Genomic DNA, 16,502 nt, shown 5'->3' with positions numbered 1-16,502 from the left:
TTAGATCCCATTTGTCAATTTTGGCTTTTGTTGCCATTGCTTTTGGTGTTTTAGACATGAAGTCCTTGCCCATGCCTATGTCCTGAATGGTAGTGCCTAGGTTTTCTTCTAGGGTTTTTATGGTTTTAGGTCTAATGTTCAAGTCTTTAATCCATCTTGAATTAATTTTTGTATAAGGTGTAAGGAAGGGATCCAGTTTCAGCTTTCTACATATGGCCAGCCAGTTTTCCCAGCACCATTTATTAAATAGGGAATCCTTTCCCCATTGGTTGTTTTTCTCAGGTTTGTCAAAGATCAGATAGTTGTAGATATGCGGCGTTATTTCTGAGGGCTCTGTTCTGTTCTATTGATCTGATGAACTCAAACAAATTTACTAGAAAAAAACAAATAACCCCATTAAAAAGTGGGTGAAGGACATGAACAGACTCTTCTCAAAAGAAGACATTTATGCAGCCCAAAAACACATGAAAAAATGCTCACCATCACTGGCCATCAGAGAAATGCAAATCAAAACCACAATGAGATATCATCTCACACCAGTTAGAATGGCAATCATTAAAAAGTCAGGAAACAACAGGTGCTGGAGAGGATGTGGAGAAATAGGAACACTTTTACACTGTTGGTGGGACTGTAAACTACTTCAACCATTGTGGAAGTCAGTGTGGCGATTCCTCAGGGATCTAGAACTAGAAATACCATTTGACCCAGCCATCCCATTACTGGGTATATACCCAAAGGACTATAAATCATGCTGCTATAAAGACACATGCATACGTATGTTTATTGCGGCACTATTCACAATAGCAAAGACTTGGAACCAACCCAAATGTCCAACAATGATAGACTGGATTAAGAAAATGTGGCACATATACACCATGGAATACTATGCAGCCATAAAAAATGATGAGTTCATGTCCTTTGTAGGGACATGGATGAAATTGGAAATCATCATTCTCAGTAAACTATCGTAAGAACAAAAAAGCAAACACTGCATGTTCTCACTCATAGCTGGGAATTGAACAATGAGAACACATGGACACAGGAAGGGGAACATCACACTCTGGGGTCTGTTGTGGGGTGGGGGAAGGGGGGAGGGATAACATTGGGAGATATACCTAATGGTAGATGACGAGTTACTGGGTGCAGCGCACCAGCGTCACATGTATACATATGTAACTAACCTGCACATTGTGCACATGTACCCTGAAACTTAAAGTATAATAATAATAAAAAAAGACTAATCTATAACTACATCACATATTTTATTTAAATTCTATACTTTAGTAGTAGTATAAAGATGTTATAGAAATACAAAAAAAACCATTAAAAGTCTTTCAATATAATAGGGAAAGATTACTTTCATAAATAAACTATTGCTCTTTTAAAAAACTAAAAAAAGGAATGTTGAATATTGGCCCCCACTCCCTTCTGGCTTGCAGAGTTTCTGCCGAGACATCCGCTGTTAGTCTGATGGGCTTCCCTTTGTGGGTAACCCGAGCTTTCTCTCTGGCTGCCCTTAACATTTTTTCCTTCATTTCAACTTTGGTGAATCTGACAATTATGTGTCTTGGAGTTGCTCTTCTCGAGGAGTATCTTTGTGGTGTTCTCTGTATTTCCTGAATCTGAATGTTGGCCTGCTTTGCCAGATTGGGGAAGTTCTCCTGGATAATATCCTGCAGAGTGTTTTTCAACTTGGTTCCATTCTCCCCGTCACTTTCAGGTACACCAATCAGACGTAGATTTGGTCTTTTCACATAATCCCATATTTTTTGGAGGCTTTGCTCGTTTCTTTTTATTCTTTTTTTCTCTAAATTTCCCTTCTCACTTCATTTCATTCATTTCATCTCCCATCACTGATACCCTTTCTTCCAGTTGATCGCATCAGCTCCTGAGGCTTCTGCATTCTTCATGTAGTTCTCGAGCCTTGGCTTTCAGCTCCATCAGCTCCTTTAAGCACTTCTCTGTATTGGTTATTCTAGTTATACATTCATCTAAATTTGTTTCCAAGTTTTCAAGTTCTTTGCCTTTGGTTTGAATGTCCTCCTGTAGCTCAGAGTAGTTTGATCGTCTGAAGCCTTCTTCTCTCAACTCATCAAAGTCATTCTCCGTCCAGCTTTGTTCCGTTGCTGGTGAGGAACTGCGTTCCTTTGGAGGAGGAGAGGCGCTCTGCTTTTTAGAGTTTCCAGTTTTTCTGCTCTGTTTTTTCCCCATCTTTGTGGTTTTATCTACTTTTGGTCTGTGATGATGGTGATGTACAAATGGGTTTTTGTTGTGGATGTCCTTTCTGTTTGTTAGTTTTCCTTCTAACAGACAGGACCCTCAGCTGCAGGTCTGTTGGAGTTTGCTAGAGGTCCACTCCAGACCCTGTTTGCCTGGGTATCAGCAGCGGTGTCTGCAGAACAGCGGATTTTCATGAACTGGGAATGCTGCTGTCTGATCATTCCTCTGGAAGTTTTGTCTCGGAGGAGTACCCGGCCGTGTGAGGTGTCAGTCTGCCCCTACTGGGTGGTGCCTCCCAGTTAGGCTGCTCGGGGTTCAGGGGTCAGGGACCCACTTGAGGAGGCAGTCTGCCCATTCTCAGATCTCCAGCTGCGTGCTGGGAGAACCACTGCTCTCTTCAAAGCTGTCAGACAGGGACATTTAAGTCTGCAGAGGTTACTGCTGTCTTTTTGTTAGTCTCTGCCCTGCCCCCAGAGATGGAGCCTACAGAGGCAGGCAGGCCTCCTTGAGCTGTGGTGGGCTCCACCCGGTTCGAGCTTCCTGGCTGCTTTGTTTACCTAAGCAAGCCTGGGCAATGGCGGGCATCCCTCCCCCAGCCTCCCTGCCACCTTGCAGTTTGATCTCAGACTGCCGTGCTAACAATCAGCGAGACTCAGTGGGCGTAGGACCCTCTGAGCCAGATGCGGGATATAATCTCCTCGTGCGCTGTTTCCTAAGCCTGTTGGAAAAGCCCAGTTTTGGGGTGGGAGTGACCAGATTTTCCAGGCGCCGTCTGTCACCCCTTTCCTTGACCAGGAAAGGGAACTCCCTGACCCCTTGTGCTTCCCGAGTGAGGCAATGCCTCGCCCTGCTTTGGCTGACGCACGGTGCGCTGCACCCACGGTCCTGCGCCCACTGTCTGGCACTCCCTAGTGAGATGAACCCGGTACCTCAGATGGAAATGCAGAAATCACCCATCTTCTGCGTCGCTCACGCCGGAAGCTGTAGACTGGAGCTCTTCCTATTCGGCCATCTTGGCTCATCCTCCCTGATTTTTTCTTAAAAACAATAAATCATGGTACCTTTTTTTCCACTATTAATCCTATATTTTTTTCTTTGAGAAATCCCACATTGTACATTGATATTTTGATGTCTATTTTTCCAATAAGGCTTCCATTATTTTTATTGAAAGTCTGTGCATTGGCTTCTAATTATTACACATTGTAAGGCTTAATCCTATGCCTTAAATGACAGGTCACCTATTTTAAGTTTAATTAGTATGATTACTATGACATGGAAGCCACTTAGGAATATGTTAAACATCTCATGGGCACAGACATGAGTTCTGCACAATTTCTTTCATTACTCAAAGCCACTCAACATGGAGATTTCCTACCATACTATCAAATTAACATATGGCTTTCTTACCTTTGTATTCTTCGAAGTCCAGGAATCAAAAGCAAATGTTCTTGCTTCCCCAAGTTACTTTGGTATAGTACCTGAGGGATATTTTCACCTTACATTTATACCTTAAATATTTTCTGGTACTATCCCCTTTTTGGTCCATCATATTTCAATTCTATTGAGTCAAGTTTCCACAGGCATTAATCAGGCTTGGGTTTTATCATTAGAATGTATCATTTTCATGGCTGTTCAGCATCAGGAAAGCTTTTTTTGCCTTACTTAACTAAAGTCTGCCTTTCATGGTGCATGATCATTATTCCAAACCCGTCTTCCTCTCCCTCAGCCTGATATGGATGGATATCCCCATACTCAGTAGAAAGATTTTCATTACATTAGTTCTGTGGTGGTATTTGGAAGCGAATCTGTTTCTCACTGGATTGCTTCCTAAGATGAAATATAAACCCTCTCTTATGGAGTATACTATAATGTCATTACAGAATATGTCTCCTAGTTCATACATGAGTATAAAAAAATCAAAGACTTTGAGATCTTTGAGATCTGTAGCCTTTCTTTCAAGATTCCAAACACTTCTCTGGTGGTAACTATTAGTTGAAACCTTTGATGAAGGGAAAGAATCTAAACTTGACCAAAGAAACAGTCACAGAAAGCATTGAAAAGAATTCTTAAAGCATGTCTAGAATATGACATATTATGTTATTTTCTTAAAAAAAAAAAGTAACACTGGTACACGTTTAGACAATAATACTTTTGTCTGCCAAGAAAGAAAGGGTGTTTTCCTAACAATCCAAACATGTGTGTCACAAGAGAAATATTTCCACAAATAAAGGGTCCTATGTTTCTCAAGCTCTAGAATCTGTTCATCTTTCTTTTGCCTTTCTTTCTTTTTAGCATAAATATTAAAGGTAAAACTGGAAATAAAACAAATTTCAAACAATGAAACATTTTAGACAAACTTTTGGAACTAATATTAACATAAAAGATATTTTACATTGTTAATGTTTAAACATCTTAAAAGTATTCACAAATCATTTTCACCTTAACATTATTTATATCACAAATACTTTCTAGTCCACATTATATGGGTGTATAGGTTTTAGATTTAGATGTCTTTTTGCCTTTGTAGAATTATGTTTCCGAAAAAGTTTCTAGTTGATAAGACTTCTACTGGCAAAATCACAGTCTGTTAGGAGACTATCAGGGATTAGGAGATATTAATAAAATGTCACTAAACATATATTCTTAAAAATCACATTAAATAAAATTTCTAGAAGTGTTCTAGAAATTTATTATCTATTGCTGTGTAACAAATTACTCCAAAATTTAATGCTTTGAAACAACAGACATTTATTATCTCACAGTTTCTGTGGGTCATGAATTCAGGAGCAGCTTAGCTGGGTGATTCCAGCTCAGGGTCTTTCCTCGGGTTGTAATCAAGATATCATCAGAGGCTGCAGATATCTGAAGACTTTTGGGGCTGGAGGAGTTTCTTTCAAGCTCAATCACGTGGCTGTTGGCAGAAGGCCTCAGCTCTTTCTCACATGAGCTTCTTCTAAGGACTGCTTGAGTGTTCTCATGACATGGTATTTGTGTTGCCTATGACAAATGATCTGAGGGAGGGTGAGCAGCAAGCCACACGCCTTTATGTCCTAATCTTGGAGGTCACACACCTTCACTTCCACCCCATCTATGCGTTAAGGTGAGTAACTAAGTCCAGCCCATACTTGAGGGAATTAGTCTCCATCTTTTGATGATAGGGATATCAAAGAATTTGTGGATAAATTTTAAAACCATCTCAATTTCCAACACAAACTAGACCTGTTGCCTTTAAGAAGCCATGATCTGACCCTTCTTTTCATATACCACATTTATCTAGGAAGCATGTGTGAACATTGCATACACTAAAGCTGATTTTCCTTCAAGTTATAAATCAAGTGAAATATGAGGGTCTCCAAAAATTCATGAAAAATGCATATTATGAAAAAATTATGTACAGATTTCAAAGAATTTTGTGCCAAAATAAGCTTGTACTAATTTGTTATAACATATCTGAACAGGACATGTTAGTTTGATATCTAGTTTGAGGCACTAAGAAGGATAAGACATCAGTTTGAAAAGAGCCCCTATCAGAGTAACATGAGTAACATGAATTCTGCTAAAACTGAAGCCAGAACAAACATCAAATTTATGGTGATGCTCGGGTGGAAGAATGGTGAAATCATTGCTGCCTTACAAAAAAGTTTATGGAGACAATTCCCCAAAGAAATCAGCAGTTTACAAATGGATAACTTGTTTTAAGAAGGGATTCGATTATATTGAAGATGAAGCCCATAGCAGCAGACCATCCACATCCATTTGCGAGAGTAAATTCATCTTATTTATGCCCTAATTGAAGAGGAGCAACAATCAACAGCACAAACAATAGCCAACACCATAGACATCTCAATAGGTTCAGCTTACACAATTCTGACTAAAAAATTAAAGTCCAGCAAACTTTCATTCAATGGGTGCCAAAACTGTTTGTTATCCATTATGAGCAGAGCAGCTGCAGACAAGAATAGAGCTTTCAATGGAAATTTTAGACAGGTGGAATCAATATCTTAAAGCATTTCTTGGAAGAATTGTAACAGGAGATGAAACATGGCTTTACCAGTATGACCCTGAAAATAAAACACAATCAAAGCAATGGCTACTGAGAGGTGGGAGTGGTCCAGTCAAGGAAAATAAGGACCAGTCAAGAGCAAAGGCCATGGCAACAGTTGTTTTGGGATGCTCAAGGCATTTTGTTTGCTGACTTTCTGGAGGGCCAAAGAACAATAATATGTGCTTATTATGAGACTGTTTTGAGAAAGCCAAATCTTTAGCAGAAAAACACCTGAGAAAGCACCACTACAGAGTCCTTCACCATGATAATGCCCCTGCTCATTCTTCTCATCAAATAAAGGTGATTTTCTAGAGTTTCAGTGAGAAATCATTAGGTATTCACCTTGATTTGGCCTCCTAATTTGGCCCCCGCTGACTTCTTTTTGTTTCCTAATCTTAAAAAATCTGTAAAGGACACCCTTCAGGTAATAAGGCAAAAACAAAAACAAAACAAAACTACATTGACATGGTTAAATTCCCAGGATGCTCAGTTCTTTAGGGATGAACTAAATGGCTGGTATCATCACTTACAAAATTGTCTTGAACTCGATGGTGCTTATGTTGAAAAATAAAGTATTTGTTTTTAATTTCTATCTTTGAATTCAATTTCCACAAACTTTTAAAAGTCCCCTCATATATCTCTTTAGTAACTTTTTCTAAATTAGCCATTAATTGGCTTAACATTTAATGTCTTTTGCACTTACATCCCCCTTTGTTTAATTTTTATAAGTCTTGGTAAAATACTGTATGTAACTGTCAGGAATTTTAACACATCGTCAATACACTTATGGGTGTATATTGGGGTGGGGTGAGGTGCTACCATCTATCCTCATACTGAGGTGGTGGAACAAGAGACTCCTTTGCCTGTCGTACTGCCTAGATCTGCCAGTGTTTTCTAGGAGGGTATGATTCTTGGTGCCATATTATTTCATTTATGACAACAAAAATGATCATTAAACTGTTTAAGGGCAATGAACTAAAATTTTGTTGCAGAAATATAAAATCACACTATTCTAGTACCATAGCTGGCTAAATTACAGTTGAAGGATTGTGTTTTGTTTTTTCTAACATTATTTTGTTAAAAAAAAACTTTTTTTATATCTTCAGCCTTCACATTTATCACTTTAATGGCTCCATAATGGTCTCTGGAGATGATATACCATAGATATATAACCATTCCCTAATCGTTAGCTATTTGTATTGTTTTTGATTTGTCCTCCCACTTTCACAAATAATGTTGCTATAAACATCTCTCTCTACAAATAGCCTTCTTCTTCCAATATTTCAATATTTTCCTTAGGGTAAAGTTTCCCAAACTGAATTATTCAGTCAAAGGATATGTGCTGGTTTTATTTTTTTAACGTTTTATTATGAAAATTTCAGATGTATGCAAAAGTGGAAAGAATAATATAATGCGCTGAATGTATCTATCCTCCCAGCCCCAACAATGATCAATTGATGGCCATTCTTGTTCATATCTGTCTCCACCTACTTCTTCCTCACTTTACCCTCTGATATGGTCTGGATATGTGTCTCTACCCAAATCTCAGGTTGAATTGTAATCCCCAGTATTGGAGGTGGGGCCTGGTGGGAGGTGATTGGATCATGGGGGTGGATTTCTCATGAATGGTTTAGCACCATCCCCTTGATGCTGTCCTTGCAATAGTGAGTGACTTCTCATGAGATCTGGCTGTTTAAAAGTATGTGGCATCTGCCCCCTGTGGCACCTGCCCCCCTCTTGCTCCTGCTTTCACCATGTGAAGTGCTCGCTCCCCCTTTGCCCTCTGCCATGATTAGAAGCTTCCTGAGGCCTCCCCAGAAGCAGATGTCCCTACGCTTCCTGTAGAGCCTGCAGAACCATGAGCCAATACACCCTCTTTTCTTCTTGAATTACCCAGCCTCAGGTATTTCTGTATAGCAATGCAAGACCTAATACACTCTCCAAACTGGGTTGTTTTGAAGCAAATCCCAGACATCTGTCATTTCAGGTATGATAAGTTTTTGAATCAATACTGATTATTTAATTGTCCTCCAGAAATTCAAATGAATTTTCAATCTTAAAATCCAAATATGATATGACACCAAAAGAACAAAACATAAAATAAAGAATTGGTACATTAGACTTTATCAAAATTGAAAATTATGCTCTGTGAAAGATTCTGTTATTAGGATGAAGAGACAAAATTACATATTTGGAGAAAATACTTGCAAATCACATACCTGACAGAGGACATATAGATATCCTATATTGATGTATATAATATATAAAGAACTCAAAACTCAACAAAAACACACACACACACACACACACACACACACAACTCTAGCAATTCAATGAGAAAATGAACAAAATACATAGAGACATTTCACAGATGGCAAATAAACAAATAAAAGATGTTTAACATCACTACATCAGAGCAATGCAAATTAAAAGTTCAATGAATTGTCACTACACACCTATTTGAAAAGCTAAAATAAAAACTAGTGACAATATTGAATGCTTTTGAGGATGTTAAAAACCGAATCTCTCATATACTACTGTTAGAAAGTAACATAGTATTTAGTCATTCTGAAAAGTAGTTCACTAGTTTCTTTAAAAAAACAAAAAACCTAAATATACACTTACCATACAACCCAGCAATCACACTCCTGGGAATTTATCTTAGAGAAATAAAAACTTAAGTCCACACAAAATTCTGTGTATGAATGTTCATTGTAGCTTTATCTGTAATAGCTAAAAAACTGAAAACAACCCAAATATCCTTCAGTGGGTAAATGATTATATAAACTGGTACATCCATACTCAGCAATAAACAAGAACAAATTAGTGAGACTTGCAACAACTTGGATGGATCTCAAGCCATTGTCTGAGTGAAAAAAGTCATTCTCAAAAGATCACATACTGTATGATTCCATTTCTATAACATTTTTGAAATGACAAAAGATCACATGAGGAGATTTTCATGGTGATGGAATAGTTTTGTGCCTTGATTGCCATGGGGGTTCCAGGGTAATCACATGAGCTATTCACACACATTTTACTGATATCAACTTCTTGGTTTTGACGTTGTACTATAGTTACATAAGGTGTAGCCATTAGGGGAAATTCGGTGAATGGTATATAGAAACTTTCTGTATGATCTTTGCAACTTCCAGTGAATCTATAATTATTTCCAAATTAAAAGTTAAACATTCACATATAGATTTTTTGCTCATATGTTTGAGTTTGAATGGATTAAATTGGAGCATAAAGACCTGCAGTGCTGAGGGTCTGCTCTTGCCATGGGGAAAACTACATAACAACTATCTCTTTAGAGTTTCTTAAGACTGTTTTGAAACAGCTCACTTGTGGTAGAAGTTGGAGGACATTGCTTCATACTGAACTGACTTGAGGAACACTTACTTGCAGATCTGGCATATCTTCCTATCAAGACAGGGATTTGTCAGGGTATTTTGTGAGTGGATGTGACAGAAATCATAAAGAGTGGCTCTTTTCTGTTTGCTGAAAGTCATTAGGAAGTCTTTAGGAGAAGGCCTCGGGGGGAAGTGCTTTTACTTGTCCATGTTTATTACAGTGGAAGCATTGAAAAACACTGCCAATTAAGCTGCATATAGTTTGGAACTCAACCTATGAATGCTCAGACTATCAATTCAGGCACAGATACATGAGAGACCTAGAAATGTGAGTGGGAGAGAAACATGCAATATAAAATATTTAGGCAGTCTTATGAAGGTAGTAAACTTAAGAGGAAATATAGATACTGTATATGCATGTGCACACACACACAAACACACAAGAACACACACATGCATACATAAGCACACACAGATAACTGCATATGCCAGGAAACCTACATATGCAGTTTGGCTCCCACTGAAACTGTCCTAGCAAAGACTGAAACAACAACAAACCCTTAGTCTTCAAATCCAATAGGCTTCTTTCAGGCTTCCTGTTGTGCTTTTAATGATATTTTATACTGACAACTTTCTTGAGATTCTAGACTCTCTTTGGCTTTTGGTGACACCACTCTGTCTTAGTTCAACTTCTATCTCCTTAGTTACTGTTTCTCAGCCTCGTTTTCAGGCTTGTCTTTCTCTGTCATCACTTATATATGCCATCACTTTTGGTCCTTAGCACTCTTCTCTGCTTACAAAGTCTCTCTGAGGACTCACTGTTGGTGGTTTCCATGTCCATTGCTATGCTGATGACCTCCAAATCTCTATTTCTAGCCTCACCATTCCTTTACATTTAAAAACCTACTGCATATTTTTACCAGGATGTTCTATCAGCATCTTCAATTTACTATATTCAAAGCAGAATTCATTATCTATCTTTCCACATTTGCTCCTCCTCCTCCTTCACTCCCCACATTGCTGAACACACTTCAAAAGCACTTAAGTCAGGAATAATGGTATCCAACCTTCGTTTTCACTTCTACCCTACCCAATGATCCCAATGTCTTCTCCATCCGACTCTCTTGAAAGCTGTTGAATCTGTGGTTCCCTCTATGCCCATTCATTACTGCTCACAGTTCAAGCCATTTTCATTTCTTGCCTGGTCTGTTTCAAGCATAGCCTGACTACTCTCCCTGCCCCCACTCATATCTTTTCCCTGTCCGCTCCATCTATCTTTCATACTTTCACCCATGAGTTTTCTAAAGCATACATCTGTTTATAATGCCCTTTTGTTGAAAGCGCATCAATGGTTTTTCATTGCTGACAAGATAAAGTTCCTTATCCATGAAGACTCAGATTTTCACCTCCTGCATGAAACTTTTCTTGACCCCCAAATTCACTTGGCTACTCCCTCCTTTGGGCATCCTACACTACCATCTACTGTCTTATCTATGTGTCATCAGTTTACAAGTATGCCTCCCTTCATTGAACTGTGAATTGCCCGAGAAAAGGATTAATATCAAACTCGTCATTGAATTTCCAGCACCTAATGCAGTGTCTGGTACATTATAAAAACCTGATCATTACAGCTAACATTTATTGAGCAGTTACTGAATGCCAGGTATTGTTCTAAGCACTCTGCACACACTCACATTTAATCCTTACAGCTCTATAGGATAGGTTCTATTTTTGTCCTCACTTTGCAGACGAGGAAATGTTAATTAAAATATAATTACATGTACTTAAAATGCACTTGACAAATATTTATTGATTGAAAAATAAGAAGTGGATGAATGCCCAACTACTCAGTGCTCTCCCTGGGAAGAAGACCCTGAAATATTCCTCTGAATTTAGTTCACTGCAGGAAGGCCGCCAGCCCCATATGTCATCCTGGCATAAACGATTGCATTTTATGATCTGGAGAAGGACTGCAACCCATTTCCCATTATTATAGTCCATCTTCTGATTCCCAAGTACACTTGAAGACATATGCCTATAATATGCCACTGAACAATTTTCACATAAAGGGCACAGATCTTATAACCTGGTTGGTAGGGTTTGTTTTTTTTCTGCTTTTTTTTTTTCCTGGGCTGGGGAGTTATGATTCCTGAATTCTAAAGCCAGAGATATATTCAAAGTCCTGTATTAAAAAGTTGCTTCTTTTCTGATACAGTATCTTCATAAACAATTCCTCAGGTAACTCTCTTATCTTTAAGTGGACTCAAGTGCAATACTTGGCACATATTTTGAATCTAAAAGAAGGAACTCCAGAGAGGGGAAAGGGTTTGGAATCAGAAGCCTGAGTTTTGAATCCAAGATCTGTCACACACAAAGCAGATGACTTTGGATGAATTATATAGCTCTTCAGCCTCAATTTCTTCAACAGATCATCAAATATTTGTCAAGCGCCTGTAACAGGCTAGCATGGTGCCAGGTCTTTTATGGATGGGGGCATTATATCTGTGGGAAAGGAGGGTTGTAAAGGTTTATATAGACAGTGCATGCTAGAACGTACATGGCAATCGATACCCAAGGTTTTCAGGTTTTTTTTTTCTTTTGTACACTGCAAGGACTAAAATGAGTATTTACTATTAGAAGGTAACTCAAATTCTCCCCCAAATCAATTTTAGTTAACAAATTTACAAGTATGAAAGATTATCAGAATAATACTCAAAAACAATAGTCTAAACATACATGTGTGGACATGTAAATATACACAACAAAAGCTTAAAAATTAGTAAGTACATTTTGAATTTTTATACTTTTAAAAGCTTGAACTCCATTTGGCTAGTAGTTGTGAAAATATTACATTATAAATAAGTCTCAGGGCAAGTAAACAAAAGGTGAAATATAGTATTGCCTTTGTATATATTTGCGTAGTGTTTTCTAAATGAGAAATGTGGAATTGAAAGGAAAAATATAAAGAAACAACACAATAATCTAAGCAACACTGCCAAGAGTTTTTTTCCATGTTACAAACATCCACCGTTCTTCATCCCCATGCCCGCCCCATTGTTTATGCTCTTCGAGTCCTTTGATCGGGACTTGTTGGCTGGTAGTTGTCCTTTTTGTTAGCTGGCTTCATGGTAGTTGTAAGTGGTCCTTTTTCATTGCTTTGTCTTGTATTTCACTTAACAGAGAAAATGGTGAGCCCTTCTCTAACACTCTGTCTTTACCACATGCTTCTATTAAAAAAAATACTTTTTTAAAGCCTGGGAATTTTCCAATATTAATAACTATTAATTAGTTTTAAATGTCTCACATCTCAAAGAAGTCCTGAATTTTACCTACATAAAAATTCATTGCATAGCTTGAGTAATTACTTACTGCTTTAAACCAGAGCAAAAAAACTATGAGTTTATGGTTTCTTTGCATACACGTTAGTATCTCTGCCTTTGTACCCTCTGACACACACATGCACACACACACACATGGATTTTCCAAACCAAAAAAAGTGAAATTAATTATGCTGTCCTCTGGTGCTACACATGAAATTTCTTTATCCTTGTCTATTTTGATGAATTTGTTGCTAAAAATGCCTTTGTATTATTCTTTTGCTTGTGTTTCACTTTTATAAGTAGGTATTATTTACACAGCTTTAAAAATATTGCTATTAATGTTATTATTTACATTGCTTATATAACATTGTTGAGTATAAATCTAAAATTATCATGTTGACTTTCTTAAACTGCTTGTTAAGGTGTTATATTAATTCTTATCACAAAAATACTCCTGTATCATATAGAAATATATTTTTTAAATGCTCTGATAATGAAGGCATGATAGCAGGAATATAATACCCTTAACCTGGCAATTCATCACCCAAAAAACAATTTTCCCAGATGATATATTGCCAAGATTCATGCTGCTGGATGTGCATAAAGAAGAGAACACGTATTGTTCTGCAACCACAATCTAGTATTACTAAACAATAAAAAGACAGATGTACCAACAGCATTTGGATTGACTATAATTATTTAAATTATTTAAAATATCCTTAAATAACTTCTCCCTAAACTTATTTTCGTTTGAGTTTTTGAGACTGCAATCCTTCCTCAAACTCTTTATGTATTGCTTCTCATCAAATATTAATTTGAGTTCATCCCAATTTTCAGCTTTTCAATGCATTGCATTTCAATTATCCCACAGAAAGCCCTCTCAGTATGACTCAAAGTTGTAAACCAGCATTCTTTAAAACCCATGTAAATCTACCTTTCACTCAAAAATACTATGGAATGGCAGAATTTCAGAACAATCACAGCTGTGCTAAAAACGATGGGGTTTAGCAGCCACCCACTGCCATGGCCACATGTATAGGCAGAATGCTTGTCAGATCTCCCTGAGTAATGGCTTGGTTTTCATACTTAGGATTAGGTAATGTTCTTCAATGAAATAAATTTATGTTTGATATTTTTTCATCCCCTCCAAACATAAAAGCTATAAATAGCCACAACCCTTTGAAAATGGAATGGCCTCCTATGACCCTCAGGCTGAAATTTAAGAGTTTTCTGCCACTGATTTATTCTCATTCCTGTGGAAACAAGTCACCAGGAATGAGTCTGCTGTCATTATTTGTGATTATTTTCAAGCACTTACACTGGTCCCGATGATCTGCTGTTGTGTCCATGGAAGTCTGAAAGGAAATGAGCATTAGTCTTGTAGAATGAACTCAAATAACTGTCAACTGCTAGGTTGAAAGTTATGTATTTCCCAAGAAATCTGTTTTTTAAAAATAGTATATATTTTAATGTTTCTAATTATAAAAAGAATATATCACATAAAAACTCCGGAAAGATGCATAAGAAACTACAAATAGCTATTACCTAGGGAGAACTAGAAATGAGGCATTCAGGGGTATAGAATGAAAACATTGTCATTTCTTTTTAAATGTTTGTTATGGAAATGTTTTAACATAGAAAAAATAGAGTAGTCCAGTGAATCCCCTATGCCCGTGATCCATCTTCAACACTTATTAACTCACGGCCAATCTTGTCTTATCTATACTCCTAACACCTACTGGATTGTTTTTTATTTATTTATTTATTTATTATTTTTTAATTTTATTATTATTATACTTTAAGTTTTAGGGTACATGTTCACAATGTGCAGGTTAGTTACATATGTATACATGTGCCATGCTGGTGCGCTGCACCCATTAACTCGTCATTTAGCATTAGGTATATCTCCTAATGCTATCCCTCCCCCCTACCCCCACCCCACAGCAGTCCCCAGAGTGTGATGATCCCCTTCCTGTGTCCATGGGTTCTCATTGTTCAATTCCTGTCTATGAGTGAGAACATGCGGTGTTTGGTTTTTTGTCCTTGCAATAGTTTACTGAGAATGATGATTTCCAATTTCATCCATGTCCCTACTAAGGACATGAACTCATCATTTTTTATGGCTGCATAGTATTCCATGGTGTATATGTGCCACATTTTCTTAATCCAGTCTATCATTGTTGGACATTTGGGTTGGTTCCAAGTCTTTGCTATTGTGAATAGTGCCGCAATAAACATACAGGTGCATGTGTCTTTATAGCAGCATGATTTATAGTCCTTTGGGTATATACCCAGTAATGGGAGGGCTGGGTCAAATGGTATTTCTAGTTCTAGATCCCTGAGGAATCACCACACTGACTTCCACAATGGTTGAAGTAGTTTACAGTCTCACCAACAGTGTAAAAGTGTTCCTATTTCTCCACATCCTCTCCAGCACCTGCTGTTTCCTGACTTTTTAATGATTGCCATTCTAACTGGTGTGAGATGGTATCTCATTGTGGTTTTGATTTGCATTTCTCTGATGGCCAGTGATGGTGAGCATTTTTTCATGTGTCTTTTTGCTGCATAAATGTCTTCTTTTGAGAAGTGTCTGTTCATGTCCTTTGCCCATTTTTTGATGGGGTTATTTGTTTTTTTCTTGCAAATTTGTTTGAGTTCATTGTAGATTCTGGATATTTGCCCTTTGTCAGATGAGTAGGTCGCGAAAATTTTCTCCCATTTTGTAGGTTGCCTGTTCACTCTGATGGTAGTTTCTTTTGCTGTGCAGAAGCTCTTTAGTTTAATTAGATCCCATTTGTCAATTTTGGCTTTTGTTGCCATTGCTTTTGGTGTTTTAGACATGAAGTCCTTGCCCATGCCTATGTCCTGAATGATAATGCCTAGGTTTTCTTCTAGGGTTTTTATGGTTTTAGGTCTAACGTTTAAGTCTTTAATCCATCTTGAATTAATTTTTGTATAAGGTGTAAGGAAGGGATCCAGTTTCAGCTTTCTACATATGGCTAGTCAGTTTTCCCAGCACCATTTATTAAATAGGGAATCCTTTCCCCATTGGTTGTTTTTCTCAGGTTTGTCAAAGATCAGATAGTTGTAGATATGCGGCGTTATTTCTGAGGGCTCTGTCCTGTTCCATTGATCTATATCTCTGTTTTGGTACCAGTACCATGCTGTTTTGGTTACTGTAGCCTTGTAATATATTTTGAAGTCAGGTAGCGTGATGCCTCCAGCTTTGTTCTTTTGGCTGAGGATTGACTTGGCGATGCGAGCTCTTTTTTGGTTCCATATGAACTTTAAAGTAGTTTTTTCCAATTCTGTGAAGAAAGTCATTGGTAGCTTGATGGGGATGGCATTGAATGTATAAATTACCTTGGGCAGTATGGCCATTTTCACCATATTGATTCTTCCTATCCATGAGCATAGAATGTTCTTCCATTTGTTTGTATCCTCTTTTATTTCATTGAGCAGTGGTTTGTAGTTCTCCTAGAAGAGGTCCTTCATGTCCCTTGTAAGTTGAATTCCTAGGTATTTTATTCTCTTTGAAGCAGTTGTGAATGGAAGTTCACTCAT

General features: G+C 37.6%; 1 long non-coding RNA gene across 5 annotated transcripts in view, besides 1 other annotated feature; it reads left to right on the top strand.

The window, feature by feature from the left end:
- Nucleotides 1-16,502, top strand: part of LOC105377885 (uncharacterized) — a 143,181-nt gene that overhangs the window by 88,858 nt on the left and 37,821 nt on the right. The gene's annotated exons all lie outside the window — the stretch shown is intronic.
- Nucleotides 2,456-3,655: an enhancer, noted in NCBI's record as "MED14-independent group 3 enhancer chr6:89060126-89061325 (GRCh37/hg19 assembly coordinates)". NCBI's record gives its function as "activates an origin of replication core promoter dependent on BRD2, BRD4, P300/CBP and CDK7 cofactors, and independent of MED14, by STARR-seq in HCT116 cells {active_cell/tissue: HCT116}" and the evidence as "EXISTENCE:reporter gene assay evidence [ECO:0000049][PMID:35650434]".

The sequence above is a fragment of the Homo sapiens genome, chromosome 6 (assembly GCF_000001405.40).
Source record: "Homo sapiens chromosome 6, GRCh38.p14 Primary Assembly".
Taxonomy (NCBI): domain Eukaryota; kingdom Metazoa; phylum Chordata; class Mammalia; order Primates; family Hominidae; genus Homo; species Homo sapiens.
Note: the sequence above shows the minus strand (reverse complement) of the source record. Positions and strands in the feature narration are given on the sequence as shown.